General features: G+C 50.2%; 1 protein-coding gene across 2 annotated transcripts in view, besides 1 other annotated feature; it reads right to left on the bottom strand.

Annotated features, from left to right (window-relative positions):
- Positions 1–20,857, bottom strand: part of IMPA2 (inositol monophosphatase 2) — a 49,371-nt gene that overhangs the window by 21,302 nt on the left and 7,212 nt on the right. The window contains exon 2 of one of the 2 annotated variants that reach the window (NM_014214.3): positions 10,389–10,522. In NM_014214.3, the coding sequence (NP_055029.1) occupies positions 10,389–10,522 (134 nt within the window). Of the gene's footprint in view, positions 1–984; positions 1,239–10,388; positions 10,523–20,857 lie in introns of those variants that run through there. The other variant, XM_011525659.4, reaches the window with a different exon arrangement.
- Positions 13,717–13,766: an enhancer, noted in NCBI's record as "active region_13098". NCBI's record gives its function as "activates an Ori minimal core promoter by ATAC-STARR-seq in GM12878 lymphoblastoid cells {active_cell/tissue: GM12878}" and the evidence as "EXISTENCE:reporter gene assay evidence [ECO:0000049][PMID:35858748]".

Genomic DNA, 20,857 nt, shown 5'->3' with positions numbered 1-20,857 from the left:
TCTGAAGCAAAACTAAACTCGATTTTAACTTCAGTCTGTAGGGGAGGAGGCTGATGAGATATGACCAAGCAAGGTGGCCCAGGACTCTGACTTTGATTCTCCCAGTCAATGCTGATACCTGGGCACCGAGGGGTTAAATGTCACTTGCAGCTGAGATCTCCCACGTCTGTACCCAGCCTGGCTCACCTGAACTGCAGACACAGGTGACAAACAGAGCCCCCCCGCAGCTGGTTCATTTCCCAAAGGTGCCCTTCCTGCCCTGGTATCTGACTTCCCTGGTTTTTTTGTTGTTGTTTTTTAAGAGATAGGGTCTTGATCTGTTGCCCAGCTGGAGTGCAGTGGTATCATCATAGCTCATGCAGCCTCAAACTCCTGGATCCAAGCAATCCTCCTGCTTTGTTCTCCCAAGTAGCTGGGACTACAGATGCATACCACCACATTCAGCTAGTATTTTTATTTTTGTAGAGGTGGGGTCTTGCTACATTGGCCAGTCACAAATCCAGCTTCCCTCTGGGAGCAAGCAAGGGTGGGGCTGCAGGAAGGAGAGAGGCTGGGACGCTCCCTGCCCCATGTGCCCTGTGCAGGCTCCACTCCTCCATGTGGCCTGCTTGACACATTCCTGCTAGAGGGACATGGGCGGCCTGCTCCTGCACTCTGCAGCAGGCCCTGGGCTGGCCCCTCCTTTGTAATGAGTCCCTCTGCAAACAAGGCCCCCTACAATCCTCACTTGAGTGTGCGTCTGTCCTGCTAGGAACCTGACCGAGACAATGTTCTCTCAAGATTCACCTGCACAGAAGGGAACTCCTGGTTTTCTCTACTTGCCTCTACCTCCACGAATGGCAACTCCCAGCACCCCCTGCTCAGGCCAAAAACAAGGGAAAGCACTCTCGCCCCATGCACTGTCACCCTTCCTCCTGCACCCCACCCACACGCAGGCCCACACACACAGGGAAGATGCTGTGGTCAGGTGTATTCGCAGCCCACCTTCTGCAGGCTGGTCCCTGTGGAGCTGGCCGCTGTTTACACCTTCCAAAGGCATTCTCAGGATCAAAGAAAAGACTAGATCTAAAGCATTCAGGGCAGTGCTTTTGACACTCTTGGACTGTCCCAAGTTCACTAAGGGTGAGGCCTTGGGCAGGCGCTAAGCAAACATCTGTTCTGTGCATGACTATGTGGCCTTGCCGAGAGGTTTTCTATCCAGTTCCTGTGCCGGGTTCACATGTGTACTAGAGAAAAAGGAGACCTGCAGAGAGTAAGAAAAAGAAAATAAGTGAAAAACAAGCAAGGCGCGGTGGCTCACGCCTGTAATCCCAGCACTGTGGGAGGCCAAGGCGGGCAGATCACCTGAGGTCAGGAGTTCGAGATCAGCCTGGCCAGCATGGTGAAACCCTGTCTCTACTAAAAATACAAAAATTAGCTGGGCGTGGTGGTGGGCGCCTGTACTCCCAGCTACTTGAGAGACTGAGAGAGGAGAATTGCTTGAACCCAGGAGGTGGAGGTTGCAGTGAGCCGGAGGTTGCAGTGATCCTAACGTTGCAGTGAGCTGAGATCACACCGCTGCACTCCAGCCTGGGAGAGTGAGACTCCATCTCAAAAAGAAAAAAAAAGAAAAAGAAATAAAAATACAAAAATTAGCTGGGGGTGGTGGCGCACGCCTATAATCCCAGCTGCTTGGGAGTCTGAGGCAGGAGAATCGCTTGAACCCAGGACGGGAGGGATGCAGTGAGCCGAGATCATGCCATTGCACTCCAGCCGGGGTGACAAGAGTGAGATTCCATCTCAAAAAAAAGAAAAGAAAGAAAAGAAAAAGAAAAGAAAGAAGGAAGGGAAGGAAGGAAGGAGAGAGAGAGAAATAAAGAAGGGAAGGAGGGAAGAAAGGAAAGAAAGGAAAGAAAGGAAAGAAAGAAAGAAAGAAAGAAAGAAAGAAAGAAAGAAAGAAAGAAAGAAGAAAGAAAAAGAAAGAAAGAAAGAGAAAGAAAGAAAGAAAAGAAAAGAAAGAAAAGAAGGAAAGAAAGAAAGAAGCGTCCCATGTTCTGGTGTTTGGTGTATTATCCACTGTGGTCATCAGCCTCCTGGAAGCCACTTTCCCCGCACGAACCATGTGGTCTAAGATTTGGCATCAATGAACTTTTGGATAAGGCTGGAGACTTGAGTGTGAATGGAAAGACTGAAATGAAAACCTCTGTGACCGCTCAGCGCCTTACAGTAGCCAGTCACCGCATATGGCTGCTTACATTTGAATTAAATAAAGACTTCAGTTCTTCAGTCTCATGAGCCACCTTTCAAGTGCTTGGCAGTCACGTGGGTGAGCGGCTACCACTGTGGACACAGCAGATGTGGGCCACCCCTGCAGCAACAGACAGAGCCGCTGGCAGTGCTGTCCTCCCACCGAGATGCTGAGAGGCAACAGCAGGCATCTCATGGTATTCGATGTCACTTTTTTTTGGAGACAGAGTCTCGCCCTGTCGCCCAGGCTGGAGTGCAATGGCGCGATCTCAGCTCACTGCAACCTCTGCCTCCCGGGTTCAAGCAATTCTCCTGCCTCAGCCTCATGAGTAGCTGGGATTACAGGCGTGCGCCACACGCCTGGCTAATTTTTTTTATCTTTAGTAGAGATGGGGTTTCACCATGCTGGCCGGGCTGGTCTTGAACTCCTGATCTCGTGATACGCCCACCTCAGGCTCCCAAAGTGCTGGGATTGCAGGCGTGAGCCACCACGCCTGGCCCGATGTCACTTTTCTATGCACGGGAGCTGCCATACACACTGTAACCACCCTGGTCCCCATCCACTCTGGGACCATCCTTCCACTGCTGGGTTATGAAGTTCATGCCTGGGATGCAGAGTCATCCAGCCCCTCCATTTTGCTGATAAATTATCTAGAAATACAACCCTGGGATACGACAAGTGCACGCATACATCATCTCAGGCTGTGCGACCTCCTCCCCGGCCCCCTGGAGAAACCCACGAATAAGCAGGGGCTTCTGAGCCAAGAAGACCAGGTCAAGTCAAGCCAGGAGCACTAAGCAAGACACCCAAGGAATCATCAGCTGTTCCTGGAGAGCCTGGGCAGGCTCAGTCTGCCCCTGGAGCTTTCAGCCTAGCCAGGCAAGGCAGATGAGATGCAGTGAACCCAGGCTTCTGGTTCTTCATCTACACTGCACGCCTTGCTCCTTGCAGGAACTGCCTCTCCACTCTCAGTTGTCCACATGCTTCTAGGTCAGGTGATGCACAGGCCCACCAGCCAGAGCCCCTGCTCAGGAACTGGTGCTCCCCAAACAGATCTAGGAGGAAAAATGGTGGGTAGAAGCCACAATGGCAGCCGGGGCAGGGGGTGGAGAGGCTGCCTCCTGACAACAGCAGCCTGCAGGAGACACACAGGTGATGATTCCACTTAGGGCGTGATCATAAGTGCTGTCAGCACTGCCAGTTTTCCTAGAAACTTCAGGCACTAAATCTGTTTTTCCATGTCTTCTGTAGCTATGTGACTTTCCTCTTCTGTAATGGCTTGCAATGACGTTTTTAAAGAAAACGCTCCACACCCTGAAAACACACATACAAGGAGCAACTACGAAAGCTTAAACTGGGCACAAGGTTGACAAAGCAGCGAACAGATATGACTCAGGTCCAGAGGGACTAGAAATGACTCAGGCACAAAGGTAAGTTTCTAAGAAACTGAGGAGGAATGTGCAATTCTTCTCCTTTTTAAACCTGACTTCAAGTAGGAAACTGAAGCGGTGGAAAGAAAACTGCCAGTGAGCCCTGAAGGAGGAGGCAGTGTGGGTCTGCAGGCACTGACACTCCACACCCAGGACAACTCACGCTGCAGCACCCAGACCACCCACGCGGCATGCCCACGTGCCTCCCAGGACACTCGGGAGCAGGAGCTCTGTCTGTTCATTCGCCAGATGCGTGGGACACCCTTTAGGGAAGTCACCAAGCAGCTTGTTTTCCCAGCAGCAACTATTAATATAAGTTAATTTGTTAACAAAGCTTCTGCTGTGTGTAACCTTTATTATTTATCTATTTGTTTTTTAGGTTTCATTTAGTGTAACCCAGCAAGTACTTTTAGAAATTTTTTTTTTTTTTCTTGGAGACATGGTCTCGCTTTGTCAGCCAGGCTGGAGTGCAGTGGCACAATCATGGCTCACTGAAGCCACAAACCACTGGGCTCAAGCAATCCTCCTGCCTCAGCCTCCTGAGTAGCTGGGACCACAGGCATGCATCACCACACCTGACTAACTCTGCCTCACATTTTTTATGAGAATAACTCTAAGTACCCACACTGAGCACTGGATGTTTTTCAGCAGCTGATCATTCATACCCTAGAGCTGTCTTCCTCATCACCCACCTTGTGTACACCTCTGCCCATGAGACTGCCTGCCCGCCTACAAGGTGGCACGAGCATCCCCCTTCCCACCTGCCTCATGCTTGTGGGCAGCAGGGAGCAGGCTTCTGCACTGTGTGGCTGCAGCGGTGTGAAGGCCAGCAGAGGCGTGAACCGTGCTCGGTCTTTGGAGGCACCAAAAATACTTCCCTGGTACATGGGAAGAGATGCACAATTTTTATTCACTTAAACCTGATTTTACTCATGTAGGAAGCTAATACCTGTGAGATGAAAGACAATGTTTTACAGCTGTCTGCAGAGGGAGTGGGGAGAGTCTGCTCTGCAGACATGACTGTAGACAGATGTGTGAAATCATAAAGACCTTCCTAAAAGCCACTGGAACATCTACATAGAATCCACAATATAGGCAGGGCACGGTGGCTCACGCCTGTAATCCCAGCACTTTGGGAGGCTGAGGTGGGTGGATCACTTGAGGTCAGGAGTTCAAGACCAGACTGGCCAACATGGTGAAACCCCGTCTCTACTAAAAATATGAAAATTACCCAGACATAGTGGTGCATGCCTGTAATCCCAGATACTTGGAAGGCAGGAGAATCGCTTGAACCCGGGAGGCGGAGGTTGCAGTGAGCAGAGATTGCACCACTGCACTCCAGTCTGGGCTACAGAGCAAGACTCCATCTCAAAAAAAAAAAAAACCCACAATATAAATAGGAAAAAAAATGCACATGACTAAATTTAGGGAAAAAAAGAACATTCCATACGTCTATCCAATAGACAAGAGGAAAATAGCAACTGGATTAAGGCTAAAAGTTTGGTAATAAGTTATTATAGAATATTATATCCTACTGCATAACTTAACCACTTTTCTTTTTTAAAAAATAGTTTTAACAAACCCTCCTTATAATTTTGACAGCTGAGTGCCTTTAAGCCCCTTTTTTCTTTCTTTCTTTTTTTTTCTTCTGGCTACTTAGTCTGTTTAGTCTGTGACAAGAAGGTCAGGATCATCCCTGCTGTCCACAAAGGAGATGATTTATGATACTCTGTCCCCATCTTCACAAGCCACTGCCCAGTGGGAAAGCAGCTGGATGTCAATGTTCAGCTGGTGGTGGCTGGGAGCATGTTTTTCCCATGTCAAGGATTCTGTTTGATGTTTTGCTTGACTCACGCATTCAACAGACACTGCTCTGTGCTGGGCACTGCAGGGCAGCAGGTTACATGGGGGCTCTGGAGCAGGGCTGGGAAGACAGCTAAAAACACTAGACCCTTGAGCTGCTGACCTCATCTCTGGGCCTAGGCCAACCCAGAGAAGCTCCAACAGGCTGCTCCACAGAAGGGACAAGGACGGGGTTTCTATCACTATAGCTCAGGGATGCTACTGAATCTTTTCCAAGTAGCTACACTTGTATCTCACTCAAAATCATCATCTGAAAACAGGTTTAGGCGCCCCACAAAGCCAGGGCATGGCAGGAGACAGCTATGTGGCCAAGGCCAACAGCACACTCCAAAGACCCAATCTATAAAAACCCGGCCTTACCATGCTGCCTTTTTTTTTTTTTTTCCTTTTCTTTTTTTTTTTTTTAAGATGGAGTCTCACTGAGATGCCCAGGCTGGAGTGCAATGGTGCAATCTCAGCTCACTGCAACCTCCACTTCCCAGGTTCAAGCGATTCTCCTGTCTCAACCTTCCAAGTAGCTGGGACTACAGGCATGCGCCACCATGGCCCAGCTAATTTGTTTTCCTATTTTTAGTAGAGACGGGGTTTCATCATATTGGCCAAGCTGGTCTCGAACTCCTGATCTCAAGCTATCCACCCACCTCGGCCTCTGAAAGTGCTGGGATTACAGGTGTGAGCCTCTGTGCCCAGCCCTGGTTTGCTTTTTGTCATGTTACGAGTTAAATGCTGGGACTTCAGGGATGACCATGGTCAGGTCCCTCATTCACAGGTGAGGAGTTCGAGGCCCTAAGTGGTGAGATTTGCCAAAGCTGCTAGGGCCAGTGACAGAAGCAATTTTATTTATTTATTTTTTATTTTTTGAGACAGAGTTTTGCTCTTGTTCCCCAGGCTGGAGTGCAGTGGCGTGATCTCAGCTCACTGTAACCTCCACCTCCCAGGTTCAAGCGATTCTCCTGCCTCAGCCTCCTGAGTAGCTGGGATTACAGGCACGCACTACCATGCCCAGCTAATTTTTTGTATTTTTAGTAGAGATGGGGGTTTCACCATGTTGGCCAGGCTGGTCTCGAACTCCTGACCTCAGGTGATCCACCCGCCTCGGCCTCCCAAAGTGCAGGGATTACAGGTGTAAACCACCGCGCCCAGCCTATTTATTTTTTTGTTTTGAGGCAGGGTCTCACTCTGTTGCCCAGGCTGCAGTGCAGTGGGGTTTTTCATAGCGGCTGCATCAATTTACATTCTCACCAACAGTCTGCAAGGGTTCCTTTTAATCTACATTTTTTTTTTTTTTTTTTGAGACAAGGTCTTGCTCTGTCACCCAGGCTAGACTGCAGTGGCAGCATCACAACTCGACCTCCAGGACTCAAGCGAGCCTCTCACCTCAGCCTTCCAAGTAGCTGGGAGCATAAGCGTGCACCAGCATGCCCAGCTGATTTTTTAATTTTTTTGTAGAGATGGGGATTCACCATGTTGCCCAGGCTGGTCTCAAACTCCTGGGCTCAAGCAATCCTCTGACCTTGGGCTCCTGAAGTGCTAGTATTACAGACATGAGCCACTGCACCCCACCAGAAGGAAGTTTAAACCTTATCATTCTTTGATTCAGTCTACACCTGTCTTCCAGGTCAAGGAGCAAACCTTTGGATTTCATGGATGAGTGAAATAAAATAATAAAACTGGGGAGCCTGTATCAGGTTTTTAAAAAAATGTTATTAAGTCTATTTTTAATATCATTTCATGAAAGACTAAAATCAAGGAAAGAGAAAAGCTCAGAATAAAAGTCTTTCCTAAAGGAGGATGAGAGGCAACTTCAAATTAAATATATTGTTTAAGGGATATATTTAAATACTTAGAAAGCAGAAAAAAATCACAATGTCCTATTTTACAATATGTATACAATTTTCTCTCATCACAAATTTATCAACTTTTCTATGATCTAAAATACAATTAAATCCCCAAAATTTACTTTCTTTTTAATCTTAGTCATTGGCAAAAAAAACTCACTTCACATAAATATGTTGAAAAACAACTGCATTTGATGTCAATTTTTGAGGCACACTGAGCAGAGAAGAGAACAGCTGCTTTCACCGTGTCCACACATTCACCCTCAGAGCTAGGGAAGATGGGGGTGACACACAGACTGGGGCTGTCCGTGGTGCAGCCACAGTCCACTGACTTGTGGGCTAGAGCTTGGGAACCCCAGATTTCAATCACTGATTCCTGGACAGGTGTGTGGGTCTGACCCTACCAGGGGGCCTTTTCAGAGATGGAGGCTGGTGTTCAGCCCGGGCACGCTCCCAGGTAAGCCTGTCTCACCCTACCTATAATCCCCTGCTCTGCATCATGGTTTTCCCAAGGAACTCTGGAGTCTGGCGGTCCCTGGCAACCCTAAGGCCTCAAGGGTGGAGGGAGGTACCTGTGCTCACCCCATAATACATTAACTTTTACCTTGTGTACACAACAGCGAGTATCTAAATTTACCTTTTACAAATGGAACCAACTGCACACATTAACCCAACAGTGGGTTGCGTGCAATCTCAGAGTGCAGTTTGTCCAAGTGACCTGACTGAAACACATCACAGCCCCAATAACTTCACTGTGCCTGATCCTGCATCTCCTCCAAGCCTTTACCAGACCCCACGCAGATGAGCCAGCCCTCCCATGCCACGGCCACACGGATCATCACCGCAGAAACCTCTAGGCCAATATGGTTAATAAAGGACCTGGAAACAGCCGGCTCGTTACTGCAGCATGCTTCCTCTCAAAGAATCCATATGATAAATTCTTTTGCTATTGCCCTTTGATTAAAATTAGGTTTATTTATTTATTTTTCGAGACAGAGTCTTGCTCTGTCACACAGGCTGGAGTGCAGTGGTGTGACCTCGGCTCACTGCAACCTCCGCCTCCCAGGTTCAAGCAATTCTCCTGCCTCAGCCTCCCGAGTAGCTGGAATTACAGGCCCACGCCACCACACCCGGCTAATGTTTGCATTCTTAGTAGGGACGAGGTTTCACCATGTTGTTCAGGCTGGTCTTGAACTCCTCACTCGTGATCCGCCCGCCTCAGCCTCCCAAAGTGCTGGGATTACAGGTGTGAGCCACCCTAAAATTAGGTTTTAAAAGGCTTTTTAAAAATCACAAACACTGGGGCCGGGCGTAGTGGATCACACCTGTAATCCCAGCACTTTGGGAGGCCGAGGCGGGCGGATCATGAGGTCAGGAGATCGAGACCATCCTGACTAACAAGGTGAAACTCCGTCTCTACTAAAAATACAAAAAATTAGCTGGGCGTGGTGGCGGGCACCTGTAGTCCCAGCTACTCAGGAGGCTGAGGCAGGAGAATGGCGTGAACCCGGGAGGTGGAGCTTGCAGTGAGCCAAGATCACGCCACTGCACTCCAGCCTGGACGCCAGAGCAAGACTCCATCTCAAAAAAAAAAAAAAAAAATCACAAACACTTTACACCCTATAACTACTGTAACCAATTCTTGGGATCCTGACCTCAAGCAGAGTAGGGAAATAGGAAGTTAGAGAAGCTTAAACTCAAAGGTTGTCAACAAAACAAACATGAGCGACTGGCAAACAGAAATTCAGAGGGAGAGCTGGTAACCTTGAGATAACCTAACAAGTTAGAAGGAAACGACGGGAAAAAAAAAGAAGGTAAGTGTTTAACACTCGCTTGTTCTTTCATTTATATAATCATTCACAGAAAAAAAAAAAAAAAAAAAAGAGCCAGGTGGAGTGGCTCCTGTAATCCCAGCTACTCAGGAGGCTGAAGCAGGAGGATCACTGGAACCCAGGAGTTCAAGGCTGCAGTGAGCTATGATCATGCCACTGCACTCCAACCTGGGCAACTGAGCAAGACCCTATCTCTTAAAAAATATATAAAAATAAATGTAAAGAAAAGTATTTTAAGCCTACCATGTGCTGAATGGACACTGAGGGAGAGTACCATCTATATTTCTGCCACCTAAGTCCATCTAAACCTGGAACCTGACAGTTATAATACCCTACAGCCAGAAATCCAATAACTGGTATTCCAGTTTTAAGAATCCAACATCTTTAAAAGATTCTATGTAACGAAGAAAAAAGATCCCTTGCATGGTCTTCAGCATTTATACTGCAGAACTCTAGAGGTGAGAGAGGGGCCTTAGAGCCCCCCAGAGTTAAAGAAGATGTCTCAATCTGGGGTTCATGGCTCCCTTAAAATGCTATGCAAAATGCTGTGTAAATATTTTAATTTTTCTGAACAAAAGATTAATAGCTAGCATCAAATACTCAAAGGGTGACCCCAAAAAGGTTAAGAGGTGCTCATACAGGCCTCTTGCAGGGACAGCTCTGGGGCCCGGCTGTGGCAGCCATTCCCACTGCGCCCTCTGGCCTGGGCGAGGGGGCGTGCATCACTAAGCACTAGTGGTGGGCCGGGGGCCCCACGCGGCTGCCAGTGCCACTTGGCATCCCATCCTCCTGGGAAAGTTGCCCAGGCAGCTGAACAGGCATAGGCCACCAGGGGACATCACCACTCCAGGCTTCTTAGGGTGGGTCACACTTCTAGTGGGTCCTTCCAGAAATAACAAATGGTTGAGTACAGGGGTGCAAGGAGCTTTTCCTGAGCATGTGTTGTAAAAAGAGCTGCTTCAATATTCACAAGAGGATGCATTGACGTGATGGTTGTTAAGATGACAGTAAAAAGAATGAAAACAGGGCTGAGTTTGCTTACTAAGTAACTGACAAATCGCAGGTTAGGCTGCGTGGCTTAGGGCTTCACGTCTGGCCACATCAACAAACAGCAGAGCCCCCTGACCCCGGCAGACCCTGCATTCTCTATGAGTGTGGCCAGGGTTACTGGGGGTGTTTCCCAGAGGAGTACACCTACCTGTGTGAAGGAAACCTCTCTCGCAACTCAGAAATAATTAAATCTTCCACAAGGTGATCTGTTTCTGTCACAAGATCTGCAGCTGATGTTTTTGTTGAGACACGTTTTTCCTCAGTAAGGGCTTTTCTGATGATCTGAAATAAAAGTACGGGATTTGGGTTAAACATGCAAACATCCTCCTCCCAGGCAAAGGAATTATCCACTCCTTCGAGTCCCCTCTGTATTCAGCCTGCCATTGGGTGGGGGGGGGGGGGGGGGGCGGCGGGGGCAGCAGGTGTGGCTCTGTGGGTCACTGACTTCTTGCATCATTGACCTCAGAGCTAATATCACAGCCTAGGCTCTCTGGGTTTCTAGTGAGCCTTAATGACTCCACCATTATTCTTTTACAAGAAAAATTATTTCTCCATTACTTGAAATTATTTCAAAATTATTTTGTTGCACCTGTGAAACAACTTCTCTTCGAGTAAAAGAAAAACACAGGGGTTTTGAAAAGAGCATGAAACTTCCTCTGTAAGAACGGCCCAAAACAAGATCATGTTACACACCTGTGCCCTGTATAATCCCATGAATTCAAATTTAGGAGATTTCAGTGTAAAGTAAAAGCTTATTTTCCCTAATTCACTTTATCCCATGAAATGGGATATGCCCTCGAATCTGATTGTAAATGTTCCCACTGAGAAACCCGGGAGAGCTAAACTGTGTTTCAGGAACCATGGCCAGCTCTCACTGCGCTCTGGGCTGGAGCAGCATCAGCTGTCTCAGAGTTCATGCAAGGATCCACAGGGCTGAGCTCCGACACAGGCTCCGCAGCTGTGCAAGCTGCCAACACACTGGTCTAAACCCATCACAGCTATACATAGGAGCAAGGACTGGGATGGTCCCAAGAACCCCAGGAAAACCCAAACAGGAAGGGATAAAGAGTGGCTAATCAGTCCCTGGACAACTCCAGAGGGACCAGTTCTGGTCCAGCCCAGGCCTTTCTTCTCCTTTTTGTTTTGTTTTGTTTTGCTTTGTTTTGTTTTACAGACTGGGTCTCTCTGTCACCCAGGCCGAAGTGTGGTGTCACAATCACAGCTCACAGTAACCTCTAACCCCAGGGCTCAAGTGATCCTCCCACCTCAGCCTCCCCAATAGCTAGGACTACAGGCACATGGTACTGCACCCAGCTCATTTTTTATTTTTTGAAGAGACAGGGTCTTGCTATGCTAGCCAGGCAGATCTCAAACTCCTGGGCTCAAGCGATCCTCCCACTGCTGCCTCCAAAAGTGCTGGGATAACAGGCGTAAGCCACCGCGCCCAGCTCTTGCCCATTTCTGTCTGTCTTAACAACTTGGTGTCTCCCTCATCATGATGACAAAGTCAGGGCACCTAAAAACGAACTCAGAGCCTTCTTCCTAAACTAGCTACATCCCAGAATCCTGTATTTCTCTCAAAAGGACCATCAATTGGCCAGGTGCCCGGACGTGACATCCATCACGTCTTCTGATAAGCACACACCAAGGACCCGCTCATGCCAGGCCCTGTGCTGCCAGAAGAAGCACACGGGGAATTCTACAGAACAGGCAGGAGCCCCCGAAACTCAGCCTCCCATGTGCTCCTCCCCATACGGGGCTGCCTGCTCTTCTCACTGCCTACATCCCAGAGCTGGCCCACGCTGTACTGAGCCAAGGCAGTTTTTGTTTTAATCTTGGTTGCAAAAAAAACAGATATATGTTATAGAAAATTCAGAATGTGATAGGTCATACCAAAAAAAGCATACAGCGTCCACATAGCCATGTCCACTGGGTAGCCATAACTCCAGGACTTCATATTCCTATGACAGCCTCCAGCTCCCACTGCCCAGGCCCTGCCTCTGGCCAGGGTTTCCTAGTTCCTGCTCATTGCCACCAGGTCAATTTTCTCAAATCACCAATTTGCACACAGGACTCTCAACAAATCAAGCTCCACAGGCCTTGTCTGTGAATCTCACACTCCTCACATGTGGCTCCCGTAGCATCTGCCCATGGTCCAGGACCCTCAACCCTGAGCTGGCCAGACAGGCCTTCGGCACAAAGCTTGTCTCATGTATGGCCACGGTGATTCCTGATGTGTGTGTGTCTCTGTTGTGTACCTGTAAGTGTGTGTTCATGTGGTATGGGGGGAGTCAGGGTGTGTGTCTCTGTGTGTATCTCTGTGTGTGTGTGTGTGTTGCTGTGGTGTGAGAGGATGCAGGGTGTGTCTGTATGTCTATCTCTGGGTGTGTGTGTATCGGTGTGGTGTGGGAAGATGCAGGGTATGTGTGTCTCTGTGTGTATCTCTGGGTGTGTATGGATTTCTGGGTGTGTGTGTGTGTTGGTGTGGTGTGGGGTTGTGGGGAGTGTGTGCATAGAGCTGGGGTGAGAAAGGCAGCCTAACCAGGGGACACAGCCCCAGAGAGGATATGGCAGCAGAGCCTCTGGGATCATCAAGGAAGGGCAGACTGTGCTGCACAGGTCTGACTGGGGTCTGAGAGCTGCATTTCTGGTAAGCTCTATGGTGACCCTGATGCAGGGGTGCTCACTTCAGTAGCATGGAGCTAGAGCAGAGTCTCAAACTCCCACGTGAAGAGAGCCACTAGGAGACCAGGATGTTCCACCTCAGCGGGCGGGGTGGGCAGGTGGTGGTGGGTTCTGAACCCAGGACCACCATCTGAGAAGACAGTGGCTTTACTTCATGCTTGTGGCATCCCCACATGGGGAGCAGCCATAAAGCTACCTGCAAGGGTGGCTGGTATTCCACTCGTCCACACTTGCAGCCTCTACGCAGCAGCTGGATGGGGAATTTTCAGACACCAATTACATCACATCACTGTACTGCAGAAAATGATCCAACGGCTTCCCGCTGCTCACAGAACACATCCCAAACCCCAGGGCCCTTGGGAAACTCCAAATCCCAAATCCCAGGGCGAGCCCTTCACAGCTCACCTCCGACAGGTCAGCCCCAAGTTGCTCTCCTGCTGTGCTCTGGGGTTTTCTCACTGATCCTAACCAAATCTGTTTCTGCCCCCAAGGACTTCCTGTTTTCTGATCCTTCTACAACTTACCATATCCCATCTGAAACCATCCTTCCTGTCGGTTTTGTTTTTGACTGTCTCTCCCAGGCAGGAGCTCAGAGGGCAGAGCTCTTTCTACTTCCCTTCGTCCTTCCTGTCTGTTTTGTTGTTGACTGTTTGTCTCTCCTAGGCAGAGGCTTCTGAGGGCAGAGCTCTTTCTGCTTCCCTTCTGTACCCCTAGCATCAGGAATGCTCCCTGGCATTCAGCAGATACACATACAGCAGGTACACAGAGTTCTTTGAAAGAATGAATAAAACACACATTGGGCTGCTTGAATAGACTGTAACATTTTTCCAAACGGGAACACTAGTGTCTGTGTGAGTGCTGACCACCCAGGTCCTTCTGTCTGGCTGTTTTTCTGGTTGCCCTGTTGAAAAGATCCAGTGCTTCCATCCACAAGTCCCACCTCCTGGAGCTAGACCAGATCTGCTTCCTGCACTCAGACCCACTCTCCCGGCACAGCCAGACGCACTTCCTAAAACATGGTCACGGTGACCATGCGTCTCCCCAGCAGAGCACTTGGTGGCGCCCTGTCACTATGTGGATAAAGTCAAAACCCCTGAAGGGAGCATAAAATAGCTTCCAGATTTGCCCTTGTAGCAGAGACCATTTGACCCCAAACGTCCAGTCTCCCCTTCTTCCTTTTAGGAACAGAACCTCCAAGTTGGAGCAAGCACAGAGCTGCCTTGCAATCTGCACACCACGCGGATACGTGTGGCCTCAGCACCAAGTTCTGCCCCAGAGGATGGGACTGAAAGCAAGACCTGCAACTTCCGAGTCACATCCTCAAAAGGATACTGCCTTGCACTTCCTCGTGTCCCATTCCCCCTCACCACAGGCTACAAAGTAGGTGTGGTGCTGCCCATGCAGGAAGAAACACCTCGGAGCAATGAGGGAGGACAAAGCTGGATCCCTGGATGACTTTGTGGAGCAGACCACCCCACCCCATACCTCTTACTAACTAGACTTCCCCTGCTCCTCTTACTGGCCTCTGTGAAGAAACCAAACAAACCATCCACTCAGCAGCTGCGGGCCTTTCCCGACCCCTTTCTCAGCTCCCCTCCCCTCCCCTCCGAGCTCTGAGAATGCCATGGCCCTGTCACATGGAATCATTAACCCTGGAGTCTCCTGATGGAACCGCCTCAGCCAGCCCACTGTCCTCCTCCTTCATGACTCAGTTCAAACATCACCTTCCACATGAGGAGCCTCCAGCTTCTGCGGGCAGAGGGGCACTCACCCAACTGTGACTACAGCACTTACACAAGCCACCAACTGGCACCCACAGCACTTATCACTCCATGTGTCTGCTCAACCAGCCTGGGTAAGGAACCCTACCCTCTCTGTCTCTGTCCACCTCCAACAGGCCATGGTGCACCCTGCATGGGGGCTGCCTCATGGGGGTCTCCAGGAACACCTGCTGAGTGAATGCATAAAGAGTCCTTGGCTGCTGCACACTGAGCTCACAGTTAACTAAATGCTAGAAGATTTTGTAATATGTCCTTTTGTGTCACCTTATCGAAGCTCACTGGTATTTATACACTCAGTTTTCCACATTCAAAACATACACAGCTGTGTGTGTGGAGGAGGCGGGTGCTGGGGGCCCTTGGGGCAGCTTGGAGAATGCTGCAATCTGGGTGTGTCCGCCAGGAAAACAGGGCCGAGTCATGGGTTACAGAGTGGGAAGAGTGGATTCAGAGGCAGGATGCTGTGTTGTGTTATGCTCTGTTGTTATTTTTCTCTTGAGACAGGGTCTCTCTCTGTTGCCCCAGATGGAGTGCAGTAGCGCAATCTTGGCTCACTGTAGTCTTGACCTCCTGAACTCAAGCAATCCTCCCGCCTCAGCCTCCCCAGTAGCTGCAACTACAAGCACGCACCACCACACCCGGATCATTTTTATTTTTATTTTGTAGAGCTGAGGTCTCACAATATTGCCAAGGCTGGTCTCAAACTCCAGGCCTCAAGTGATCCTCCCGCCTCGGCCTCCCAAAGTGCTGGGATTAAGACGTGAGCCACTACACCTAGCCTTCATAATCTTTTAAAATATTAACTGTTTTCTGCTTTTATTAATATTTATTATTGCAGTTTCTCTGATGACTTTCTTTGTGAGTGTGTCATAAGGAAGGCCATGGGGCTCGAACATGCCTGTACCTCCTACCAGCAGGGCAGGTGACCCTGTGGCCAGCCTCTTCCACTAGACCTGGCCTCACAATCGGGCTGCTGTCTTGCATCAGGTGTGCAAGGCCCTTCACACCCAGCCAGGGCAGCATGCCCCATGCCAGGCTCAAGCCCCCTCGAGTGTCCTCCCTCCTGTACCTCCATGTCTTTGGACACGATCCCTTGTGCCTGCAATGACATCCCTGGCCACCTTCTGCCTGTCTGTGCTCTCAGCCTCCATCTACTCCAGCACAGCTGCTCCAGGAGGTCGCCCGTGTGGCCGTCCGCCCACTGCCCTGGCTGAGGCCCCTCTTCCTGGGTCAGCTACTGCACAGTCCACTGTACTTGGTCACTGCCCTGTCTCCTCCACTGGGCCATGCACTCCTCCAGGTTGGGAGCTCTGCATTTCATCCCAGTAGCTCCAGGAACTACCCTCACCCCGGCAGGGTGCTGATGCCAGCGACATGCACCCATATACACCAGATAGGGCTCTATCAGGTGTACTCGGGGGCCTTGCACACATGGGGGCTGCGCCAGCTAGCTTCCTTCAGTCACCAACAGACAATGACACTAAGCTAACCTAAAAAAAGTCAGAAGCCTTGTCCTGTAGCTCTTCATGAAGATGGGTATGAAAAATTCCCTTCCAGGATGTAATTCTTGTTTTCAGCAGTTTCATAACATCAGTGGGAGTAGAGAGGGATAAAGTACACTCCAGAATCAGACAGCTCTAAATTCAAATTCTATATGGGTTCTCATGGCCTTCATTTCCTCTTCTGTAATAACAGTGTATCTAACACATTGGGTTGTTTTAGGAATCACATGAGGTATTGTATGAAAAGGTCTTGGTCCACAAACTTATTTACACACAGAACCTCACCAGTATCAGTTGTGAGAACATGTATCTGAGAAAATCTAATGACTTTTTCAGCTAATTTTTGTATTGTTACAAAAAATAAGAACCTACCGTACATACAATGTACACGTTGCAAATAGGATGCTAAAATACTAGGTTAAGAAAAGTTTAATTCACGAATTGTCCTATGCTAAGAGAAAAAGTGAGGAAAAGTGCTGTATTTCTAAAATCAGTAAGCGAGACTCAAACAGCCCTGCCCTTTAGCCAGGATCACGTCCACAGGGCGAGGGAGCACATGGGGTTGCCAGGTAAGGTCCCGCTGAACCCCTTTACCACGGCTATTTTCCCTCAGTCTTAGAGATTTTAAACACTCTCACTCCACCAGCAATGAGTTAGGTATCCTGGTTTTTAATTAATGTTTTTCAGCTACTCGCTAACTAAGCATGCACTTCACAGACCCCCCTGGCTCGGGTCTCTCCTTCCAGTAGCATTCTGTTAATGTATAACATATAAAATATGGGCCTGAAGTCACTGAAGCCTGAATTTCAAATCTAAAAGGAAAGGTCACCATCAACCAGCTTCAGAGACATCCTAGGCTAACATATTCATGGAGACGTCCAACTATCTTTCCTGTCTCACCCCATCTTGTTCTTGTGCTCCTGTCCCCATCCGACCTTTATGCCAGTCACTGCAGGGCAGCTGGCATGTGCTCTGGAACCCAGGCCCTGTGCATCATCCACAGAGCAGCACGCCGGAGCCTTGCCAGAGTGCAGTTTCAATAGGAGATGTGTCTTTCCCTCTGTCAGGTCAGGAAGATGTGGCCACTGGAGGTGTGCACCTGACGACACGCCCCATGTTTATGCTTCCAGATTTACTGCAACACAAGTGAATGTGTTGTGATGGTTAATTTTATGTGTCAACTTGACTGAGCTACGTGGAGCGCAGATACTTGGTCAGACATTGTTCTGGGCTAGGCGTGGTGGCTCATGCCTGTAATCCCAGCACTGGGAGGCCGAGGCAGGCAGATCACCTGAAGTCAGGAGTTCGAGACCAGCCTGGCCAACATGGGGAAACCCTGTCTCTACTAAAAATACAAAAATTAGGTGGGTGTGCTGGCACACGCCTATAATCCCAGCTACTCAGGGGGCTGAGGTAGGAGAAACGCGTGAGCCCAGGAGGTGGAGGTTGCGGTGAGCCAAGATTACGCCACTGCACTCCATCCTGGGAGACAGAGCAAGGCTCCATCTCAAAAAAAAAAAAAAATTGTTCTGGGTGTTTCTGCGAGGGCATCAGCATCTTAATCAGGAAAGTAGATCCCTCTCCTTCCTGTGGGCAGGCCTTGTCCAACAGCTGAGGGCCCAAACAGAATGAAAAGGCTGACCCTCCCCCAAGTAAGAGGGGGTTCTCCGCAAATGGCCTTGGGACTCTGTCCACATGAACAACTCTTCCTGCCCTATGGCCTTCAAACTGGAACATCAGCTGTCTCTCCGCGTCTCCAGCTGCCAGCCCACCCTGCAGACTGGACCCACCCACCTCCTGCCGGTCCTGTTTCTCTGAAGAACCTGATACGTGTGACAATCAATAAAACCTAACAGTTCATCGGGTACCCAGGTAATAACACGCCTATCACATGGTGTCATGTGGCACATGTGGTCAGCAGTTCACAGCTGTTGATGCGTCACAAATCTCTGTACAACCTCAACCCTGGGAGGAAGAGGAGGAGCTGGTCCAAGCAGACGTGGCTCCCAGGCCAGCCCACCTCAGGCTCTCGAATCCTCAACGCCTCCTTTAGTCTCGTGGCTATTTTTCCCCTCACCTTGATCTCTAGTCGCCCTCCGCCCTGACAAGGCACTGGCACCTTCCATACCAATGCCAGCAGCCACCCGTCACCCACATCCCAGCTGCATTCCCTGTGTTCCAGGGCCCGTGGCCTGTGGCCCCTGCCTCCCCTCGTGGCTTTCCTCCTATCTCCCCACCATTCTGCGGCTCATCTCCCTCCCACTATTCCTTGAAAGTGGGTGTTTGCAAGCCCTCGGACCTGCCTTCAGCAGCTGAGCTTCCTGGAGATGGCCTCCACCTCACACCCTGCCCAGCTCCACGGCCTGAGCTCAAGCTTACAGAGCGCTTCTTCTGCCCCGTGCTGTTCTGAGCAGTTCACATGTACATTTATTCCACACAGTAACTCTGAGGACAGCAAAAATTATTCTCCACGTTAAAGATGAGGAAACGGAGGCAAAAAGAAATGGAGAAAGTTGCCCAAGGCCCTGCAGCTGTAAGGTATAGGGAAGGGGTTCCCAGCACCACAGTCCAAGTCCACCATCGCTAAACAGAGCCGACCCCACGGCTGGAGCCGTCACAATTGATTACTTCCTAATCCCTCTCCAGCTCACATTTCTCTCAAAAGCAATGAGAGCCAGCCAGCTGCATGAGCCAGAAACCCAGAAGTCCTTTATTCCTATGTCTCCTTCAATGTACGACTCATCAAGTCCACCCCAACTCACAGCCCCCAAGGGCCACACCCCATCAGTTCGAGCAGGACACCCACCTGCAATTCTGCCCTCCACACGGGGCCCCCAAGTCCTGACCTCTCCCACCTCAAACTTTAGCCAAAGTGCATTTCTTGGAGGTCCTTGGTGCTATGTTCTCTTTTGCCCCTTCTGCTTTCATCTTCTCTATTGGCCCCGACCCCTCCTCTTCTCTCTCCCCTCCCCAAGCCCATCACCTAACCTTCCTAGCTGACTCCTGCTTTTTTTCTAAAGACACACTCAGCTGTGACTTCTTCCAGGAAGCTGTCCACATCCCAGGTGCTGGGATGGCCTCCCAGTCCGCCTGCACACTGCAGTGACTGGCCAGGTCTGCACCTCCTCCATCTCTCACATGAAAGGTGAGCCCAGGGGCAGGGCGCCAGCCTGCAGAAGGCCTCCTGCAGCGCTCATGGCAGGCTAGGGCAGAGCTGGGACAACGGACACAGGATCCTGAGACTGGCTCAGCCTAGAGACCAAAGCCTTCCCTCACTCCCACAGAAGAGAGAAGACGCAAACCAGGCTCCAGGCTCCTGTCTCCACTGGGCCCAGGAGGAGGCCAGGAGAGAGGGAGGGGCCTAGACTCCGGAACTCCCCTCTCCTTCTCAATGTCTCAGCTCCCCATGCCTTTGAGCTCCTGCCTTCCTCCACCCCTAAAGCTCGAGGAGGGGGCCTGTATCTCACTAGCAGCCTCTCCATCCTCTGGCTGAGTGATTTCACCCACCCTCCTGCCCCAAACTCCAAAGACAGTAATCTCCCCTGGGCAGCGCTTCATTGGGGTGAGCAAGTGACAAGCTCAGGGCCACAGAGTCCAGGACTCACTCTCCCCGTGGGGATGAGCCATCTACCAGCCTCTCCTTAAGGGGGCACAGGTGGGACCTCACTGGCACCCTGGAGTGCCAAGGGCTGGGATGAGGCTGCCCAGAGGCAAGGGCAGTGCCTTCTGCCCTCCCCCTTCTTCTGAGACAGCTTTTGTTAGCAAAATGGGTAGGAAATGATAGGGACCTCTCAGATAGGGTCAGGAGCAGTGGGCCTCGGACCCTTGGAGACCATGTACCGACCCCCACCCCACCAAAGGGACAGCTGCTACTCTGTGCCTGCCAGCTGCTGTCTCACAGGAATTCTGTCTCTGCTGATGTTTGAAATGTTGTTGAGTTTTCGAATTTCTCACGTAGGCTGACCCCACCCTGCAGAGCTAAGCAAACACTGCAGGTGTGGACCAGGCGAGGCAGGAGCTGGAGGCCATCACCACCGCCTCCTCTCCCCCTCCTGCCTCCTCTTCCTCCAGCGACAGGTGCGCTCAGCCCAGGCAGGAAGAGCAGGGAAGCCTTTTCTGGAGAAATGAACCACTTCAGAAATGACCTCCACAAACTGGCATTTGTGAGGCTCCCAAGGAGGAAAATGGGAGCCTGACCTGAGCTCATCCGACGGCAAAGCCCATCAGTGGCCAAGCCTGCTCTCCTCCTGTCCGGGACATGGCCCTAAATACCATCTCCAGGAATATGACTTCCACACTGCATCTCTGCCGTCAGCTTGGGTGCAAATCCAACATCTCCACTTAGTGAAACCCCGTCTGTACAAAAAATTAAAAAATACATATTATCCAGGCATGGTGACACATGCCTGTAGTCCCAGCTACTCAGGAGGCTGAGGTGGGAGAATCACTTGAGCCCAGGAGGTAGAAGCTGTGATTGCACCACTGCACTCCAGCCAGGGAAACAAAGCGATACCCTGTCTCAAAAAAATAAAATAAGAAATCTACTGGCAATTCGAGCTTAACCTGCACAGAAGAGAACACTCGACTCTCAGCTCCAAACCTGTTCCTCCTGCAGTTTTGCCATCTCGGAAAGTGGCAAATCCATTCAACCA

Source organism: Homo sapiens, chromosome 18 (assembly GCF_000001405.40).
Source record: "Homo sapiens chromosome 18, GRCh38.p14 Primary Assembly".
Classification (NCBI taxonomy): Eukaryota; Metazoa; Chordata; class Mammalia; order Primates; family Hominidae; genus Homo; species Homo sapiens.
The sequence above is the reverse complement of the archived record's forward strand: the minus strand, read 5'-3'. Positions and strand labels throughout refer to the sequence as shown.